This window comes from Homo sapiens, chromosome 17 (genome assembly GCF_000001405.40).
Source record: "Homo sapiens chromosome 17, GRCh38.p14 Primary Assembly".
In the NCBI taxonomy this organism is placed as follows: domain Eukaryota; kingdom Metazoa; phylum Chordata; class Mammalia; order Primates; family Hominidae; genus Homo; species Homo sapiens.
The window spans coordinates 40,340,358-40,353,787 of record NC_000017.11 but is presented as its reverse complement, the minus strand read 5'-3'; the positions used below and the strand labels follow the sequence as shown (position 1 = coordinate 40,353,787).

The 13,430-nt window shown below is 59.2% G+C and overlaps 1 protein-coding gene and 1 long non-coding RNA gene across 13 annotated transcripts in view, besides 10 other annotated features; one reads left to right on the top strand and one right to left on the bottom strand.

The window, feature by feature from the left end:
* The window catches only part of RARA (retinoic acid receptor alpha), a 48,464-nt gene that overhangs the window by 3,856 nt on the left and 31,178 nt on the right, over window positions 1-13,430 (bottom strand). For 9 of the 12 annotated variants that reach the window (XM_011525095.2, NM_000964.4, NM_001145301.3 and 6 more), the window contains 4 exons: window positions 5,324-5,472; window positions 3,863-4,004; window positions 1,718-1,878; window positions 1,281-1,457 (listed from right to left, as the gene is read on the bottom strand). In XM_011525095.2, coding sequence (XP_011523397.1) covers window positions 1,281-1,457; window positions 1,718-1,878; window positions 3,863-4,004; window positions 5,324-5,472 — 629 coding nt within the window. Of the gene's footprint in view, window positions 1-1,280; window positions 1,458-1,717; window positions 1,879-3,862; window positions 4,005-5,323; window positions 5,473-10,920; window positions 11,623-12,172; window positions 12,399-13,430 lie in introns of those variants that run through there. The other 3 variants (XM_005257552.6, NM_001024809.4, NM_001145302.3) reach the window with 3 other exon arrangements.
* Window positions 508-1,019: an enhancer, noted in NCBI's record as "H3K4me1 hESC enhancer chr17:38509021-38509532 (GRCh37/hg19 assembly coordinates)". NCBI's record gives its function as "activates a minimal SCP1, AML or CMV promoter by ChIP-STARR-seq in naive H9 embryonic stem cells {active_cell/tissue: H9 hESC(naive)}" and the evidence as "EXISTENCE:reporter gene assay evidence [ECO:0000049][PMID:30033119]".
* Window positions 7,908-8,458: an enhancer, noted in NCBI's record as "H3K4me1 hESC enhancer chr17:38501582-38502132 (GRCh37/hg19 assembly coordinates)". NCBI's record gives its function as "activates a minimal SCP1, AML or CMV promoter by ChIP-STARR-seq in naive H9 embryonic stem cells {active_cell/tissue: H9 hESC(naive)}" and the evidence as "EXISTENCE:reporter gene assay evidence [ECO:0000049][PMID:30033119]".
* Window positions 8,254-8,303: a silencer, noted in NCBI's record as "silent region_8486". NCBI's record gives its function as "represses an Ori minimal core promoter by ATAC-STARR-seq in GM12878 lymphoblastoid cells {active_cell/tissue: GM12878}" and the evidence as "EXISTENCE:reporter gene assay evidence [ECO:0000049][PMID:35858748]".
* Window positions 8,459-9,008: an enhancer, noted in NCBI's record as "H3K4me1 hESC enhancer chr17:38501032-38501581 (GRCh37/hg19 assembly coordinates)". NCBI's record gives its function as "activates a minimal SCP1, AML or CMV promoter by ChIP-STARR-seq in naive and primed H9 embryonic stem cells {active_cell/tissue: H9 hESC(naive and primed)}" and the evidence as "EXISTENCE:reporter gene assay evidence [ECO:0000049][PMID:30033119]".
* Window positions 9,009-9,559: an enhancer, noted in NCBI's record as "H3K4me1 hESC enhancer chr17:38500481-38501031 (GRCh37/hg19 assembly coordinates)". NCBI's record gives its function as "activates a minimal SCP1, AML or CMV promoter by ChIP-STARR-seq in primed H9 embryonic stem cells {active_cell/tissue: H9 hESC(primed)}" and the evidence as "EXISTENCE:reporter gene assay evidence [ECO:0000049][PMID:30033119]".
* Window positions 10,652-12,921, top strand: RARA-AS1 (RARA antisense RNA 1). Its single transcript, NR_110861.1, has 3 exons — window positions 10,652-10,912; window positions 11,098-11,792; window positions 12,088-12,921. It is a non-coding gene; the product is annotated as an RARA antisense RNA 1 (long non-coding RNA).
* Window positions 10,660-11,209: an enhancer, noted in NCBI's record as "H3K4me1 hESC enhancer chr17:38498831-38499380 (GRCh37/hg19 assembly coordinates)". NCBI's record gives its function as "activates a minimal SCP1, AML or CMV promoter by ChIP-STARR-seq in naive H9 embryonic stem cells {active_cell/tissue: H9 hESC(naive)}" and the evidence as "EXISTENCE:reporter gene assay evidence [ECO:0000049][PMID:30033119]".
* Window positions 11,210-11,760: an enhancer, noted in NCBI's record as "H3K4me1 hESC enhancer chr17:38498280-38498830 (GRCh37/hg19 assembly coordinates)". NCBI's record gives its function as "activates a minimal SCP1, AML or CMV promoter by ChIP-STARR-seq in naive H9 embryonic stem cells {active_cell/tissue: H9 hESC(naive)}" and the evidence as "EXISTENCE:reporter gene assay evidence [ECO:0000049][PMID:30033119]".
* Window positions 11,674-11,723: an enhancer, noted in NCBI's record as "active region_12144". NCBI's record gives its function as "activates an Ori minimal core promoter by ATAC-STARR-seq in GM12878 lymphoblastoid cells {active_cell/tissue: GM12878}" and the evidence as "EXISTENCE:reporter gene assay evidence [ECO:0000049][PMID:35858748]".
* Window positions 11,796-12,374: an enhancer, noted in NCBI's record as "H3K27ac-H3K4me1 hESC enhancer chr17:38497666-38498244 (GRCh37/hg19 assembly coordinates)". NCBI's record gives its function as "activates a minimal SCP1, AML or CMV promoter by ChIP-STARR-seq in primed H9 embryonic stem cells {active_cell/tissue: H9 hESC(primed)}" and the evidence as "EXISTENCE:reporter gene assay evidence [ECO:0000049][PMID:30033119]".
* Window positions 12,064-12,293: a silencer, noted in NCBI's record as "silent region_8485". NCBI's record gives its function as "represses an Ori minimal core promoter by ATAC-STARR-seq in GM12878 lymphoblastoid cells {active_cell/tissue: GM12878}" and the evidence as "EXISTENCE:reporter gene assay evidence [ECO:0000049][PMID:35858748]".

Below are 13,430 nucleotides of genomic sequence, written 5' to 3'. Positions count from 1 at the left end.
GGCAGCACAATCTAAACCTCCCACCCATCACCCGCCTCAACATTCAGAGGTGCCCATGGAGAAATGACAGTCTGCCGGCTCACGCGGGAGGATCACCTGAGGTCAGGAGTTCGAGACCGGCCTGGCCAACATGGTGAAACCCCGTCTCTACAAAAATACAAAAATTAGCCGGGTGTGGTGGCGGGTGCCTGTAATCCCAGCTACTCAGGAGGCTGAGGCAGGAGAATCGCTTGAACCCGGGAGGCAGCAGTTGCAGGCTGCAGTGAGCCAAGATCATACTACTGCACTCCAGCCTGGGTGACAAGAGTGAAACTCCATCTCAAAAAAGAAAAACATAAAAAGAAATGACAGTCTCGTCAAATCCCAGGTTCCCCACCCTGGAGGTGACCAAGAGGGAACAGGTGGACCGAGCCCTTGTCAGGGACAGCAGGAAGGAGAGTGCTCCCTCCAGCCTAGGCTTTGGCAGTTCCCACCACCTCTTCCTGCCCCCACCCCCTGCATCCAGCCTCCAGCCCAGTCTACCCTCGGGCTCACCTCACCGAGTGCCCGGCAGTCCCCTGAGCTCAGCATGGCCTCACAGCAGCAAGTCTTTCACTTCCTGCTCCTGAGTTAGGGCTACCCTCTCACCTCCCCCTCTACAAACCCCTAGATGTCACCTCCTCTGAGACATCATCCTTCAGGCCCAAGCAGTCACAAGCCCTCCCCCAATCTCCAGGAAGCATTGATCACAGTTTTGCAACCTCTGTTGACTTATCTCTTGCCTCACATGGAAGGTTTTCAAGAGAGGGGATGGTGGTGCATTCACCGCTGGGTTCCTGACACCCAGCTCGAACACTGGCCAGAGGATCCTAGGTGAATCTTTTTAGTTTTTTGCAGAAATAAGGTCTCACTATGTTGCCCAGGGTGGTCTTGAACTTCCAGCCTCAAGTGATCCTCCTGCCTCGCTCGGCCTCCCAAAGTGCTGGGATTACAGGTATGAGCCACTGCACCTGGCTCCTACGTGAATCTTTATTACTGGCTAAATGGATGGATGGCTGGGTGGCTGGATATGTGTATGGGTGAACAGGTGAGCTCCTGCACATCTGGCTGCTAGGTGGCTGAGTGGACAGGGAGACGAGTGGACAGGTGGACATATGGGGAGAGGAAGGGCAGACATTTGGGCGGTGGGCATTTGGACAGGTTGATTGCAGACAGACATTTAGGAGGGTGGCTGTCTGGCTGGAAGGACATCTACCCAGGACACAGGGGCAGTGCCTGGGGGCCAGGGTGCAGACCCTCACCAGGATGTCCAGGCAGGCAGCCTTGAGGAGGGTGATCTGGTCGGCGATGGTGAGGGTGGTGAAGCCGGGCAGCTGCTTGGCGAACTCCACAGTCTTAATGATGCACTTGGTGGAGAGTTCACTGAACTTGTCCCAGAGGTCAATGTCCAGAGAGACACGTTGTTCTGAGCTGTTGTTCTGGGGGAGGAGGGAGAGTGAGGGCCTTCTTCTCCATGGCACCCCTTCTCAGCCTGGCTCCAGCCCCCACAGGCCTGCCCTCTACCCAGCCTTCACTTCCTGGGAGCTCCTTGGGAAGAGGCAGCAGGAGGAGGGAGAAGAGAGGGGAAGGGAAGGACGCAGAGATCTTGCCTGGCACAAGAAGGGGTGCCTGAGAGGGGCCCATCCTGGCCCTGTGGCCCTGGGCAAATCCCACCCTGCAGGCCGGGGGAAAGCCATACCGTAGTGTATTTGCCCAGCTGGCAGAGGGCAGGGAAGGTTTCCTGGTGCGCTTTGCGCACCTTCTCAATGAGCTCCCCCACCTCCGGCGTCAGCGTGTAGCTCTCAGAGCACTCGGGCTTGGGCACCTCCTTCTTCTTCTTGTTTCGGTCGTTTCTCACAGCTGTGGAGGGCAGAGGGGGTTAAGAGGGCAGCTGCAGGCTGCTCAGGGCCTCGTCCACCCCCAGCCTGACAGAGAGCTGCCAGCTGCTGAGGAGGTCACCCAGGCTTGTAAGCACGCGCACACAGCACGCGTTCACGGGCAGGCAAGGCATTGCCACGCACTCCAGCCCTCCATGCCCACCCAACCCACACATCAAGTTCTGCCCCAGAAGCCCCATGAGCACAGCTGTGGCCCTGCACACACCCCCCACCCCACCCCATAGCCAGCCGCATGCTATCCCCCACGCGTCTACTCCAGCTCACACTCCAGGCGACGGTGCCCTCCTAGGTGCTCTGCCTCCTCTTTCCCCAGGAAGGTCCTTCTCCCGCCTCCACTCACCCAGCCCTCCCAGCTGCAGTCTCCCTGGGGGTCCCTTGGGACTGGCTCTGAGCAGCTCCTGGGGCAAGTGGGGAGTAGGGCTCCCCAGCCTGAGAGTGGGGGACCTGGCGGGGAGAATCTCTTGGCCCATTAGCTGGGGAGCTGACAAATCACCAGGGGCGCTGAGCCGCACACACCACTCGGCTTTAAAGAAGCGATGGGGTCGTTACCAGCCGATTATCCAGACACACAATCACTCACAGGGCTGGTGGTGGTGGCTGCTGACGCGGGAGGAAGGGAGGGTGGGGGAGGGGCTCAGGGAGGGGGTAGCGAGGTGGGGGTAGCTGGCATAATTTGGAGATCACTCATGTCGATTCTGCAAATTCAATAAAGTGCAGGGGAGAGAAGGGAGAGGGAGAGGGAGAGTGGGGGGATAATTTGGGAAGAGAAAATTGCAGCTGTGACAAGACGTTTATCATTCGGAAGCTTTAATTCTATTGAAATGGCAGCTGCTCAGCTCCGGGGCACAGAGCAGCCGGGAGAGGGGGAGTTGGCGGTGGGAGGGAGAAGGGGAGTTGGCGGTGGGAGGGAGAAGGGGTCCCCTCCCTGGTCCTTCTGCCATGAAAAGAGCAGAAGGTGGCACAAACAGAGAGGAGGAGGTGACAGCCCTTAAGCGAAGGGTTCCAGGCTTGTGGGTCTTGAGTTGTCACCCACTCTTGCAGCAGGAGCCACTTCCTGGGCTCAGGACAAGGCACCCCCAGCCTCCTGTGGCAGGACACTCCAGTCCCCTCCATTCCTGTCTGGGGCTCTTCGTGCAACAGTCAGAACCATCTCACCCGTGCCCCCTCCCCACTGCCCTCCCCACAAAGGGCTAGGGGGTCCTGCAGCCCCCTCCCCCATCCCATCCCCCAAGGCTCAGGCTCCATGGCAACGGCCACGCAGACAAGGAGGCGTCTGTCAGCGTCATTTATCTCTGACATCATCAATCACCGGTCACCATGGCAACACCCATGATTCAACACAAGAGGGTCTCCCTGTCCAGCCTTTCCCTCCCTCCCTCCATCAGGCCTCAGCTGAGCCCAAAGTGGAAACCCCGTTTCCTCTGGGATCTGAGAAGTCCCAATTCTTTCTTCCAACTCTGAATCCCAGGCTTAACTAGACAATGGCTTTTGGATCCTTGTGCCAGCCCTTCCACCCCCCCATACACACATAAGTCCAGCCAAGCACCCCTCAGAATTCAAGCCCCTCCCCTAAGACTCACAATCAGAAGGGACTGCCTATGCCTCTGAGCCCCACCCCAAAACCAAGCACGGCCTGGAAGAAAGCCATCCTGGAGCATGCACACACACACACATACGCAAGCACACACAGCCAGACGTGCAGAAACAGGAATGGTTACACATACACGGTCCCGGAGCACAGACCTGCCCGTGGACACACAGCCAGCCAGACTCGCAAACAGGTCCTTGCAGCTACACACAAACCATCCTCAACCGTGAGCCCGCACACCACGGCATGCGTGTTCATGCATGTGCACAAACATCCACAGAGCCCTGCTCCCTTGGTCTTTAGGAGCATCTGAGACCCCAACTGAGGCGGGACTCGGCCCCTGCCCTATGGCACTCACACTCCTTGGACATGCCCACTTCAAAGCACTTCTGCAGTCGGCAGTACTGGCAGCGGTTCCGGGTCACCTTGTTGATGATGCAGTTCTTGTCCCGGTGACACGTGTACACCATGTTCTTCTGGATGCTGCGGCGGAAGAAGCCCTGGGTATGGAGGGGAGGGAGTCAGGTTGTCCACACCCACAGTGGGAGCAGTGCCTGGCTACGGTCTCAGTCTAGGGGAGGAGGGCCAGGCCAGCTGCTGCCCCCAAGCGTTTGCCCATCGCCTACCTGAGCAGGCCAGAAAAGCTGGGGAGAATGATTCACCTAAAAGGATCCTCCTCAGGAGAATCCCAGTACCTGCCTCAACACTGCAGGATGGGCAGGAGTCTTCCCCCAACCCACAGCACACACCTGACTCCTCCCTTCCAGGGAAAAGACCTCAGGGCTGCTGGTGAGTCAGAAATAGGAAGACATGGGGCTAACTGGGCAACAGCCAGGGATCTGGAACCCACACCCCTGAACTCAGAACACAGGAAAAGAAGACAAGCCCGAAGAGGCCAGGAGGCAGATACACGGGCTGGCCAGAGAAATGGAGGCGAACACACACATGCACTCAGGAGCAAGGCAGAAAGATGTGAGTTCACCAAGACAGGTGTGCACCGACCCATCACAGACACAGACCCAGGCTGGCCAGGGGCTCCACATACAGGCTGACCAGAGGGACAGGCGGACAGAGGAAGAACAGACCAGGAACAACCAGACAGGACAGGCAGACACACAGCCTGAGTCCTTGTGCTTTGCCCTTGACCTCCGTCCCACATCTGGGGATAGCTACTCCAGGCTGAAGAGCAGCCCAGAGCTGCAAGGCCCAAAGCTGTGAAGATTCTGAGCCCCAATCTCTGGAGGAAGAAACGCACACAGAGGCTCAGGCCCCAGGGAAAGGAGGAGAAGCCGGGCGCAGGGCTGCTAAGGACCAGGTATACCTGCACCCTGGCACCTAACGTGAGGATGGGGAAATCCAGCCAGACACTGGGGAGCCCACAGCCCGGGCACCTGAAGGGGAAGCTAAGGCAGGGTGCCTGCTCCTAACTGCCTCCTGCCAGGCTGCCATGGTGAGGTTCAGGCAGGGCCGCCGGGGGAGGCCTCCTGGGTCCCCAGCCAAGAGCCAGTCGGCAGCCAGCTCACCATGGCAACCTGGGCAGCGGTGGCAGAGCAGGCGTACGCCCTGCCAGCTGGAGGATAGAGACAGGGAAAGGAGCTGAGGCAGGAGGGGACCTCTGGTTTGAGGGAGCCCTGCACATTTATGGGGGAGGACCTGTGGGGAAACTGTGGTAGGTGTCCCTGCTTGCTGCCAACTTCCACAGAGAAAGAAGAGCAGCAACTTCAGGGACACCCCCCAACTGCACACTCCCAGGACACAGAAGTGGGGACATCCCATTGACCTCATCAAGCTGTCCTTCCCAATGACCCCTTCAACTCACCTTGCAGCCCTCACAGGCGCTGACCCCATAGTGGTAGCCTGAGGACTTGTCCTGACAGACAAAGCAAGGCTTGTAGATGCGGGGTAGAGGGGGTGGCGAGGGAGGGCTGGGCACTATCTCTTCAGAACTGCTGCTCTGGGTCTCAATGGCTAGAGAGAGAAGAGGGGAGGGGCAGTTAGAGACCTAGGTCGCCATCCTTAGTACCAAGCTCCACCCTGCCTCACCGTCCCTCCTAAGAGCCTCTCCCAGCCTCACCACTGCTGGCAGGATTCAAGTCTTAAGAAAACTGGGACTCCCCAGCCAGACTCAGGGCAGGAGGCTGCCAATGAAGCCTCCAGCACCCCATCACTCCTCTGGACTCCTAGGACCCCCACCTTCAAAACCACAAAGATACAATGATAAACCATCACATTTGTATGTGTGCCGTGACTGTGCTTGGGGAGTAGGGGTGGGGGTCACCCTGATTCTAAAGCTCTTGCCCCTGGGCGGCCTGGCCCCGTTCTCCCCCCGAGTTAGGAAGGAGTTAACGCTTGAAGAGGAGGGAGGGAAGAGGACATAAGCTGGGGGCAGAGGAAACTGGGGTCAACAGGATATTCAAAGCCGGCCACTCCCCCGCCCCCTCTGCTTCCGCTCCCCCCTCCACCCCATTCTGCCAGCAGCCACTGCCCCTCCTCCACCCAAACAATCCCAGGGCCAGGGACCCAAGGCAGGGGGTGCAAAGAAGAGTCACAAATGCTGGGCACAGTAGGAGGTGTCTCCCTGAGATAGGGGGAGATACCCTGAATACAGGGAGAAGAGTCCCCAGGGCCCCAAAAGCCCATTATTCTGGGTACCCCCCATCTGGGGAGAGATGGCATGACAAAGGGGGTCTGTTCCCATCAATGCTCTGTCTGTCTGGCCTCAATACTATGTCCGGGTTACTAACCCCTCCCCTTCTGTTATTCAGCTCCAAGAGGGCAGCCAGGAGGGGTGACCCAGACAGCAGGGGCAGCCCTCACTGGCCAAATCCTCCCCAGTGTCTGGCTCCATGCCCATCACTGTAGGCAGAACAGGGCTGGGTTGGGTAGGGGCTATCCATGTCCAAAGCCTGGGCAGCTAAGGGTGTTGGGTGCAAGATAAGAACTATGACCAGGACAATCCCAGATTCCCAAGGGGCCACGCAGCATCGTCCTGAGGCCCCTACCAACGTTCAAGTTCTCTTGTCCAGGGCCAAGGATGGATGAGGATGCCTCCCTAGGTAGACAGATCCCTGCCTCCTCCCATATTCCACAATCCTACCTAGCCCTACCCCAAACTCCGGCACATGAGACTGGCTGGCATTTAAAGGTGCCCACAGCTCCTGGCCCAAGCACCTTACAGACATGAGTCACATAGCCCCAAATCACATGGCCCTAAAATTGGGGCACAGAGGAAGGAAGCATGGGAACACCAGGGGCTGACTATGTGCTACCACCCTCCCCCCTTACCTGCAGACACAGTGGGGGCTGCTAGGCGGCTGATGACAGGGAACTAGGCCAACAACCTTGGCAGGGCTTTCCTGGCTCTTAGTAGTGCCTGGGCACCACTTCCCAGGCCAGCCTGGCTGACCAGCACTGCTATGGCCCCCCATCCCCTTCCCTGCCCCAAGACCAGCCTGCAGCAATGGGACAGTTGATGCCCACACCATCCCCAGCCCAGCAGATTCTCTCCTGACCTCCCCACCGCCGTCTGCTCTTCACTCCAACACCAACTGCCCTGGCCTGGTTTTCTCCCACCTCATTCTCCCCAGGCCAGACAAGCAAATCAGACAGGCTGAGAGGCCTGAGAACAGCTGCTGGGGGGGCGGGGTTGGGGGGCCTGGGTGAGGCCAGGAGGCAGAGGGGGTGAGCCACAAAGCAGCCCTTTGTTGTGCTAACTTTTTCCAAGACGTAAAAGCAGTAACAATAGACAATCCAGACTGGTGGGGGGAGGGGAGATCAAGGGCAAGGGGGTATGTGGAGGGTTGGGGGGACCATGGCCTAGAATCTTGGTCAGCATTCCGACAAGCAGAGGAAGAAGGCACTGACCTCCCCACCCCTCCTAATCCACCGTTTGCCCTGGGCCCCGCCTCTCCCAAGGCCCCACTTCTAAAATGAACCAGACTGGAGAGGGAGAAAGGACTGAGGGAGCTTTGGGGGTACAGAGCGGGATGTCACGAGGGGAGCTAGGGTATGGGGAGTCATGGGGGATACCAGGATGAGAGGTAAACAGCTCTAAGGCCTGGGACAGACTAGAGGGCAAAAAGCCATAAAAACATGGAGCTAAAGCAAAGTCCAACAGAGGGTGTTTACGGAACTGAGAGAATGTGCTTTTTAAAATTATTTTTTGGCAGAATGGGAGAGATGACCAGAGGCAAGGACTACAGTTTAGGCTGGGCAAGGCCTCCTTTTAGCCCACCCAACGGCAGCTTGACTGCCTTGGAGGCTGTAACATAGCCTGCCCCCTACCTCCAGCACATCCCCACCTGTCACCCAGGTAACCCAGCTCTGAGGTTTCCCTGCTCTGCCCTTTGAACCCAGAGCTCGATGCCCCACCTCCCCAGGCCTCCAGCCAGCAGTCCAAGGAGGTGAGGTACAAGGACCAAGGCCGGAGGTGTGGGGAACTCCGGAATCCTCACAGCCTCTGCAAGAGTTAGGACACGGCCATAACTCCCTGCACACACAGGTGGAGTGGGGAGGGACACCAACGGGGGAGGGACTGCCCGGGCCTGGCCCATCCCTGCTAACCTCCCTCCCCAGAGGCCCAGCCCACCAATCTCTCCTCTTCCTGCAGAAGGACTCGGGCTAGAGAAGGACCACACCTTCTCAGCTCAAAGTTCCAGCGCCCAACAGAGGACTGGAACTGACCCAGGAAGCCAGGCGTCCCCTCCCGCCGACGCTGCCAGGGTGCCCCTCCCTCGCTCCCCATCCTGGCAGGGCGGGCGGCGCAGAGCGCTCCACTCCGGATTCCCCACGCCCCCGAGCCGTTCGCAGGCTCGCACAAGGGGCCGGTTTCCTGGAGGAGATCAGCAGGAAATCAGCCGGGCCCCCGGCCAGCGGCTCCCCTCCCAATCCAGCTGGCGCCCGCTCCTCCGCAGCTCCCCTCGCAGCCCCTGGGGATGGTTGGGGAGGGGGCGTAGGGCCCTCTGTACCGTCCTTCCTCCTCCCGGGGAGAGGCGGGGGTAGCTCTGGGTGTACCGCGGCAGCGGAAGAAGGCCCCTAGCCCAGCGGCCGCCTGATAAGCGTCTCCCCCTCCCCCAACTACGGGCATCCACGTGCTTCACATTCTTGGACGTCTGGGAGCGGGCGGAGGTGTGAGTGGCGGAGATTGGTGGGAGACAGATGGGGAGCCACATCCTGTGCACCCCCCTTGTCCTCTAATGCACCGAAATGAGGGCTCTGGGGAGGGAGGCAATGTCCCTAGGGCCCTGCAGAACCCAGGCCACCTCCTCCCAGAGCCAACCTGCTCTTCCCACCTTCAGTGGCAGTAAAGGGGAGAGTGGAGAATTCCCCAAGAGGGGGCTGGAGGCAGCTCCAGTCACCAGCGGACTTCCACACACCCAAGGGGACCCTTCCAAGGTGGTGGCATTGGCCCCACATATTCTAGACTGAGTCTAGTTGCCACCCTCAGACTCCGGGTCCTTCCTGTGCCTCAAGGCAAGCCCCCAGACCCCCATCACTCCCAACCTCACAGCCTCAGGACCCGAGTCCACTGACACCTCACTCACTTATATATGCACACCCACGCTCAGACTACGGGAACTGGAAACCCAGGCCTCTAGGTCTACTACCCCACCCCAGAATGGATGTGGGGACAGGTCTCCACTTCCCCATGTCCAGTGGTTTAGGGGAAGGGCTCACCAATACACTGCCTGTCCTACTCTCTGTGATCCTCCTCCCTCTCCAGTTCTGGGCCAGGAAGAGCTGAGCTGTCCCCATGGGCTAAGAAGAGACAGGGGCTGGAGACCAAGGTCTCAGATCCCAGCTTCTCTCCAGCCCTCTGGAGAAGGTGGCCAAGGCAGTGGAAGGGGTGACTCTGGCAGCCCTGCTCCAACTATCCCCCTAGGGGAGGGGGGTCTTGCTCCAGCACTGGGAGAATGAGAAAAAGGGTCCTAGAGTCATCCTCTCACTCTCTCTTCTTCCAAAGTCAAGGGTGATACCTTCCCTCTTGTGTCTACAGCCACACAGCAGATTCGGCCCTAGAGGAAATGGTCGGGGGCAGGACAATAGGAAAAGCTGGGATAGAAGTGGCTCTGGGAGGGCAGAGGTGGGCTGTCTGTCCATCTCAGGTCTCTCTTCTCCCAGCAAGAGGGGTGGGGTAAGTCCTTTGCCCTTCAACCTTCTCCAATCTGCCAGGGCCCCCCCGAGACCCACTCCACCCCTCCTCCCTGGCAGGCAGGAGGGAGGCAGCAGGTCCAGGAAGGTGGGAGATCCTCCACGGAAGAGCTTCCCCTCCAGCAAAGAGCCCAAAGCCCAGGAGGGGAAGAAACCTGAGCCATCTAACAATAACCCCCTTGCGCCTGCTCCCGCCCACCCAGTGTACACTGCCTCACAGCTGCGCAGGAAAATGCCCAGGTGTACACCCTGGTGCTCCGAGCTCCTGAGTGTGCACAGAGCCCTTCCTCCCAGAGGAGCCTGCACCCAGGCAGGGGGCAACAAGGAGAGAAAGTGACCAGGCTGCCAGGATGCTAGGATTCTCATCAGTGCCCCTCTTAGGAAGGCACAGCCCAGGACCTGGCCCTATCCCCAAGTGAAGTCAGGGTAACAAAAGGACTCGGTGGCGGAGCTGGGAAGGGATGCAGTCCTCATTTCCAGAGCAGCCCCAGACCCACAAAAACAAACTCATTCCCCAGAGAACAAACCGGATTAGGATTAGGGGGAGAGGGATTCTTCTCACCAGAGCAGCTTCTCCCCTCCACTCCTGGGGATGAAAGCCTCAAAGATGACAGCCAAGTGTCTGGGGCCAGGACAACAACCCCATAAGGACCCAGTGCCCCTTGCCAAGATGGAAGGTTAGGATGGCAGACGGGTGTCTGATGAAGTTGCCCCTTTCTGCCACACCCCACTGTCAATACCAAAGACACTGAGTGCTCCCCTGACACCCACTCTAATGACGCAAGAGCAAGGGCTGGGGGCAGCAGCTGTCGCACAGGAAGGGGCTCTCCCTCGGGCTTTGGCAAGTGGGATCTGGCGGGGGGGCCTTCCCCCGGGAGCAGACAAACCCACACAGACAGGACCTTTACCCCACCCTCCAGCCTGCTGTGAAGCTGTTGGATTCCAGGCAAGAAGATATAAACTGGGGGCAAGGGGCTTGGGCTTCATTTCTCCTGGAAGAAGTGAAACAAGAGATGAAGGAATGTTGCTTGAAAGAAGGAACTCTCAAAGTTCCTCAGCCCTAATCTAACACAAATTGCACTTAGGGTTACTGGGGGGAGGGTGCGGCCGGGAGGGTTCAATTGTCCAGCAAGGGCAACACGGGTTAAGTGAAAGGTAGAGACAGGACCTCCACTACACCCCGGGACTCTCACCCCCGAGTAGTAGTGGAAGCCCTACCGCCCACTCCCACCCCCTACAACAGCAGACTGAGAGGCCGGTACGTACAGTGGTTTGAGCCATTCCAAAGCGGAGTCCGGAGCGGGGTGGAGTACGGACCCGGGGCGGGGAGCCCCTTCTCTGGGAGCAAACAGGCCCGGTTCTGGTTATAAAAATCCACCACTAGGAAGGGATTAGGGGTGGGACCCCCCACTTCTACACTCTCGTACATCTTTCCCCTCGAAGGCAAGAGGTCCGAGCTGGGAAGTCCTGCGCGCCGCCCCCGTCACTCAGCCGGCGGCGCCATCCGAGCAGAGCAGCTGGGGGAGAGGAGACGTCCCCTCGCCCCGACTGGTGACCCGGGCAGGGGGCGCCCCCTGCCCTGAAGTCCCCGCGTCTAAGTCCGCCGGCCGCTCCGCCAGTCCCGGTGAAAAGCAGGGAAGTTGTGTGTGCTGGGAGGGGGGGTCCGTCGGCTCTCCCAGGGAAGCCTGGCGGGGCCCGGGAACTCAGCGGCTTCACCTCGAGGGGACTCCCGTCTAGAGTCTCGTGGCGTCCGAGGCAGAGTACAGCGGCTCCCCAAGTCCGCAGGCCGGGGGCGGGATCAGCGCGGGGCTGGGGGTCAACGAGCACTTCCTCCTCCCAGCCGGGGATCCGGGGCTTCTCCAGGGATTCTCCGTGGCGAGGATTCCGGGTGGGGGTGGGGATCCCGCGCGGTTCCGCCCCCGCCAGGCCAGGGGCAGCTGGCGACTCGCTCGGTCTCTGGTGGTACGCGCCACGGCCCCCCCACCCCAGCTCTGCGCGCCCCCTCCCCTCCGGGCACCACCCCCTTTCCACCGCCCCGCCCCGTCCAGGCACCGCCCCTGGCTTAACCCATTCCCGGCGCGTCCGGCTGCAGCGGGAGAAACGCAGGGAACCGAGAGGGAGAGGCGGCATGTGGACAGGCAAGTGGGGGCAGCCTGGGAAGGGGGAGGAGAGGAGAGAAGCAGGAAGGGGGAAAGGCTCCAGATGAGGAGTACACAGAGTACAGAGGGACGCCGAGTACAGGGAGAGGAGGGGGCTGCGAGGGGACAAGGACGGAAGAGGGGCGGGCGTCCTCCCTTGTACCAGTTCCGGCTCCCAGGCTCCCCCAAGGTTTGGTCAGTCCCTGGCCGAGCGAAGCCGTGGTGGAGGAGGTGGTGGGGCGGGGAAGAGGGGGGTGGTCCCGGTGTCCTCCCCTTAACACACACCCCCACCCAGGCCGGGCCTCATTTGCCTAATGCAATGCGGCTGAACTCTCGCTGAACTCGCCTGGCGGCGCCTCACCTCCGAGTGACCCACCCACCGCTGCCCGTGACATCACCCGCTCGCCAGCCCGCCCGCGGGGCTCGCCCGCCAGCCCCCTGCCCGGCCGAACCGGGCCACCTCCCCCGGAGACGCGGAGAGCGGCGGCAGGAGGCGTAGGGCCGGGTCGCGCGGGGCCAAGTGTTTGGCACCCGGGTGTGACATTGTGCAGCTCGGACGCTGTGTCGGAATGAGACACCGGCTTGTGTCATTGTCTGTGACATCATGTGTGACTCCGGCCGCCGGAACCCGACGCGGCAGCGCGGGTGCTGTTGGCACAAACACAGGCAGAGGGGGCCCTCCTCCCCACGCTCTGCGTGCTTCCGGCGAGCAAAGCCCCGCCCAAGGTGTCTCCTAGCTGGGGAACCAGTACCGGCCCCTGGTGCACTGTCCAGCTCTGGAGAGATAAAAGGAAGAGCTGGTGCCTTCCAGTGGACTACTTCATCCTAGAAGCCCTCGGGATGCACGTTTCACTGGAAGAAAGGCCTAGCTTGGGTAGGTCCCTAGAAAGAGGGGATACCCCTGGAGGAGGGGGTATCCTATTACCCCCACTCTCTAAAAGGAAGGATGGAAATGTACATGCTACCCAAGGACATTCTTCTAGAAGAAGCCTGGCTCTTTATATATGTTGTCATTTTATCCTCACAGCAACTCCAAGAGATGTTTTACAAATAAAACAGGTCTCAGCAAGGCTATGTGGGTTGTCCAAGATCACATTACTAATAATAAAGAGTAGAGCAGGTATTTGAACTTCCTGCTGCCAAAGCCCATGTTCTTACCAAGCTAGGCCAATTCAAGGTATTTTTCTGAGCACCTTCTATGTGGACACCCTGGGGAACCTGCCCTTGTAGACCTTAGGGAGCAACAGCCATTAAGCAAATAATCACTGTATGCACACACAATTGCAAACTGAGATAAATGCTATTATGCTCTGAAGAATTAACATAGGTACCTAATTTAGGTTTAACTAAATTAGGGAAGAACTCAAATAAAACAGACCTACCATAAGAGAAAGTTTGTAAGTTAATCAGGCAAAGAGTAGAAAGGAGTGTAGTTCCAGTTAAAGGGCGAGTCTGTGCAAAGGCCCTGGGGTTACAGCAGTTGATGAGTTCATTGAAGGAACTGGCAGAAGGCTAGAATCATGGGGCACAAAATTCAAAAGGAAAAGGTACACAAGACCAGGCTAGAGAGGTGGGCTCAGGCCAGACCAGGGGGGCTTATAGGCCTCAGTAAGGCTTTTGGATTTTATCCTAAATGCA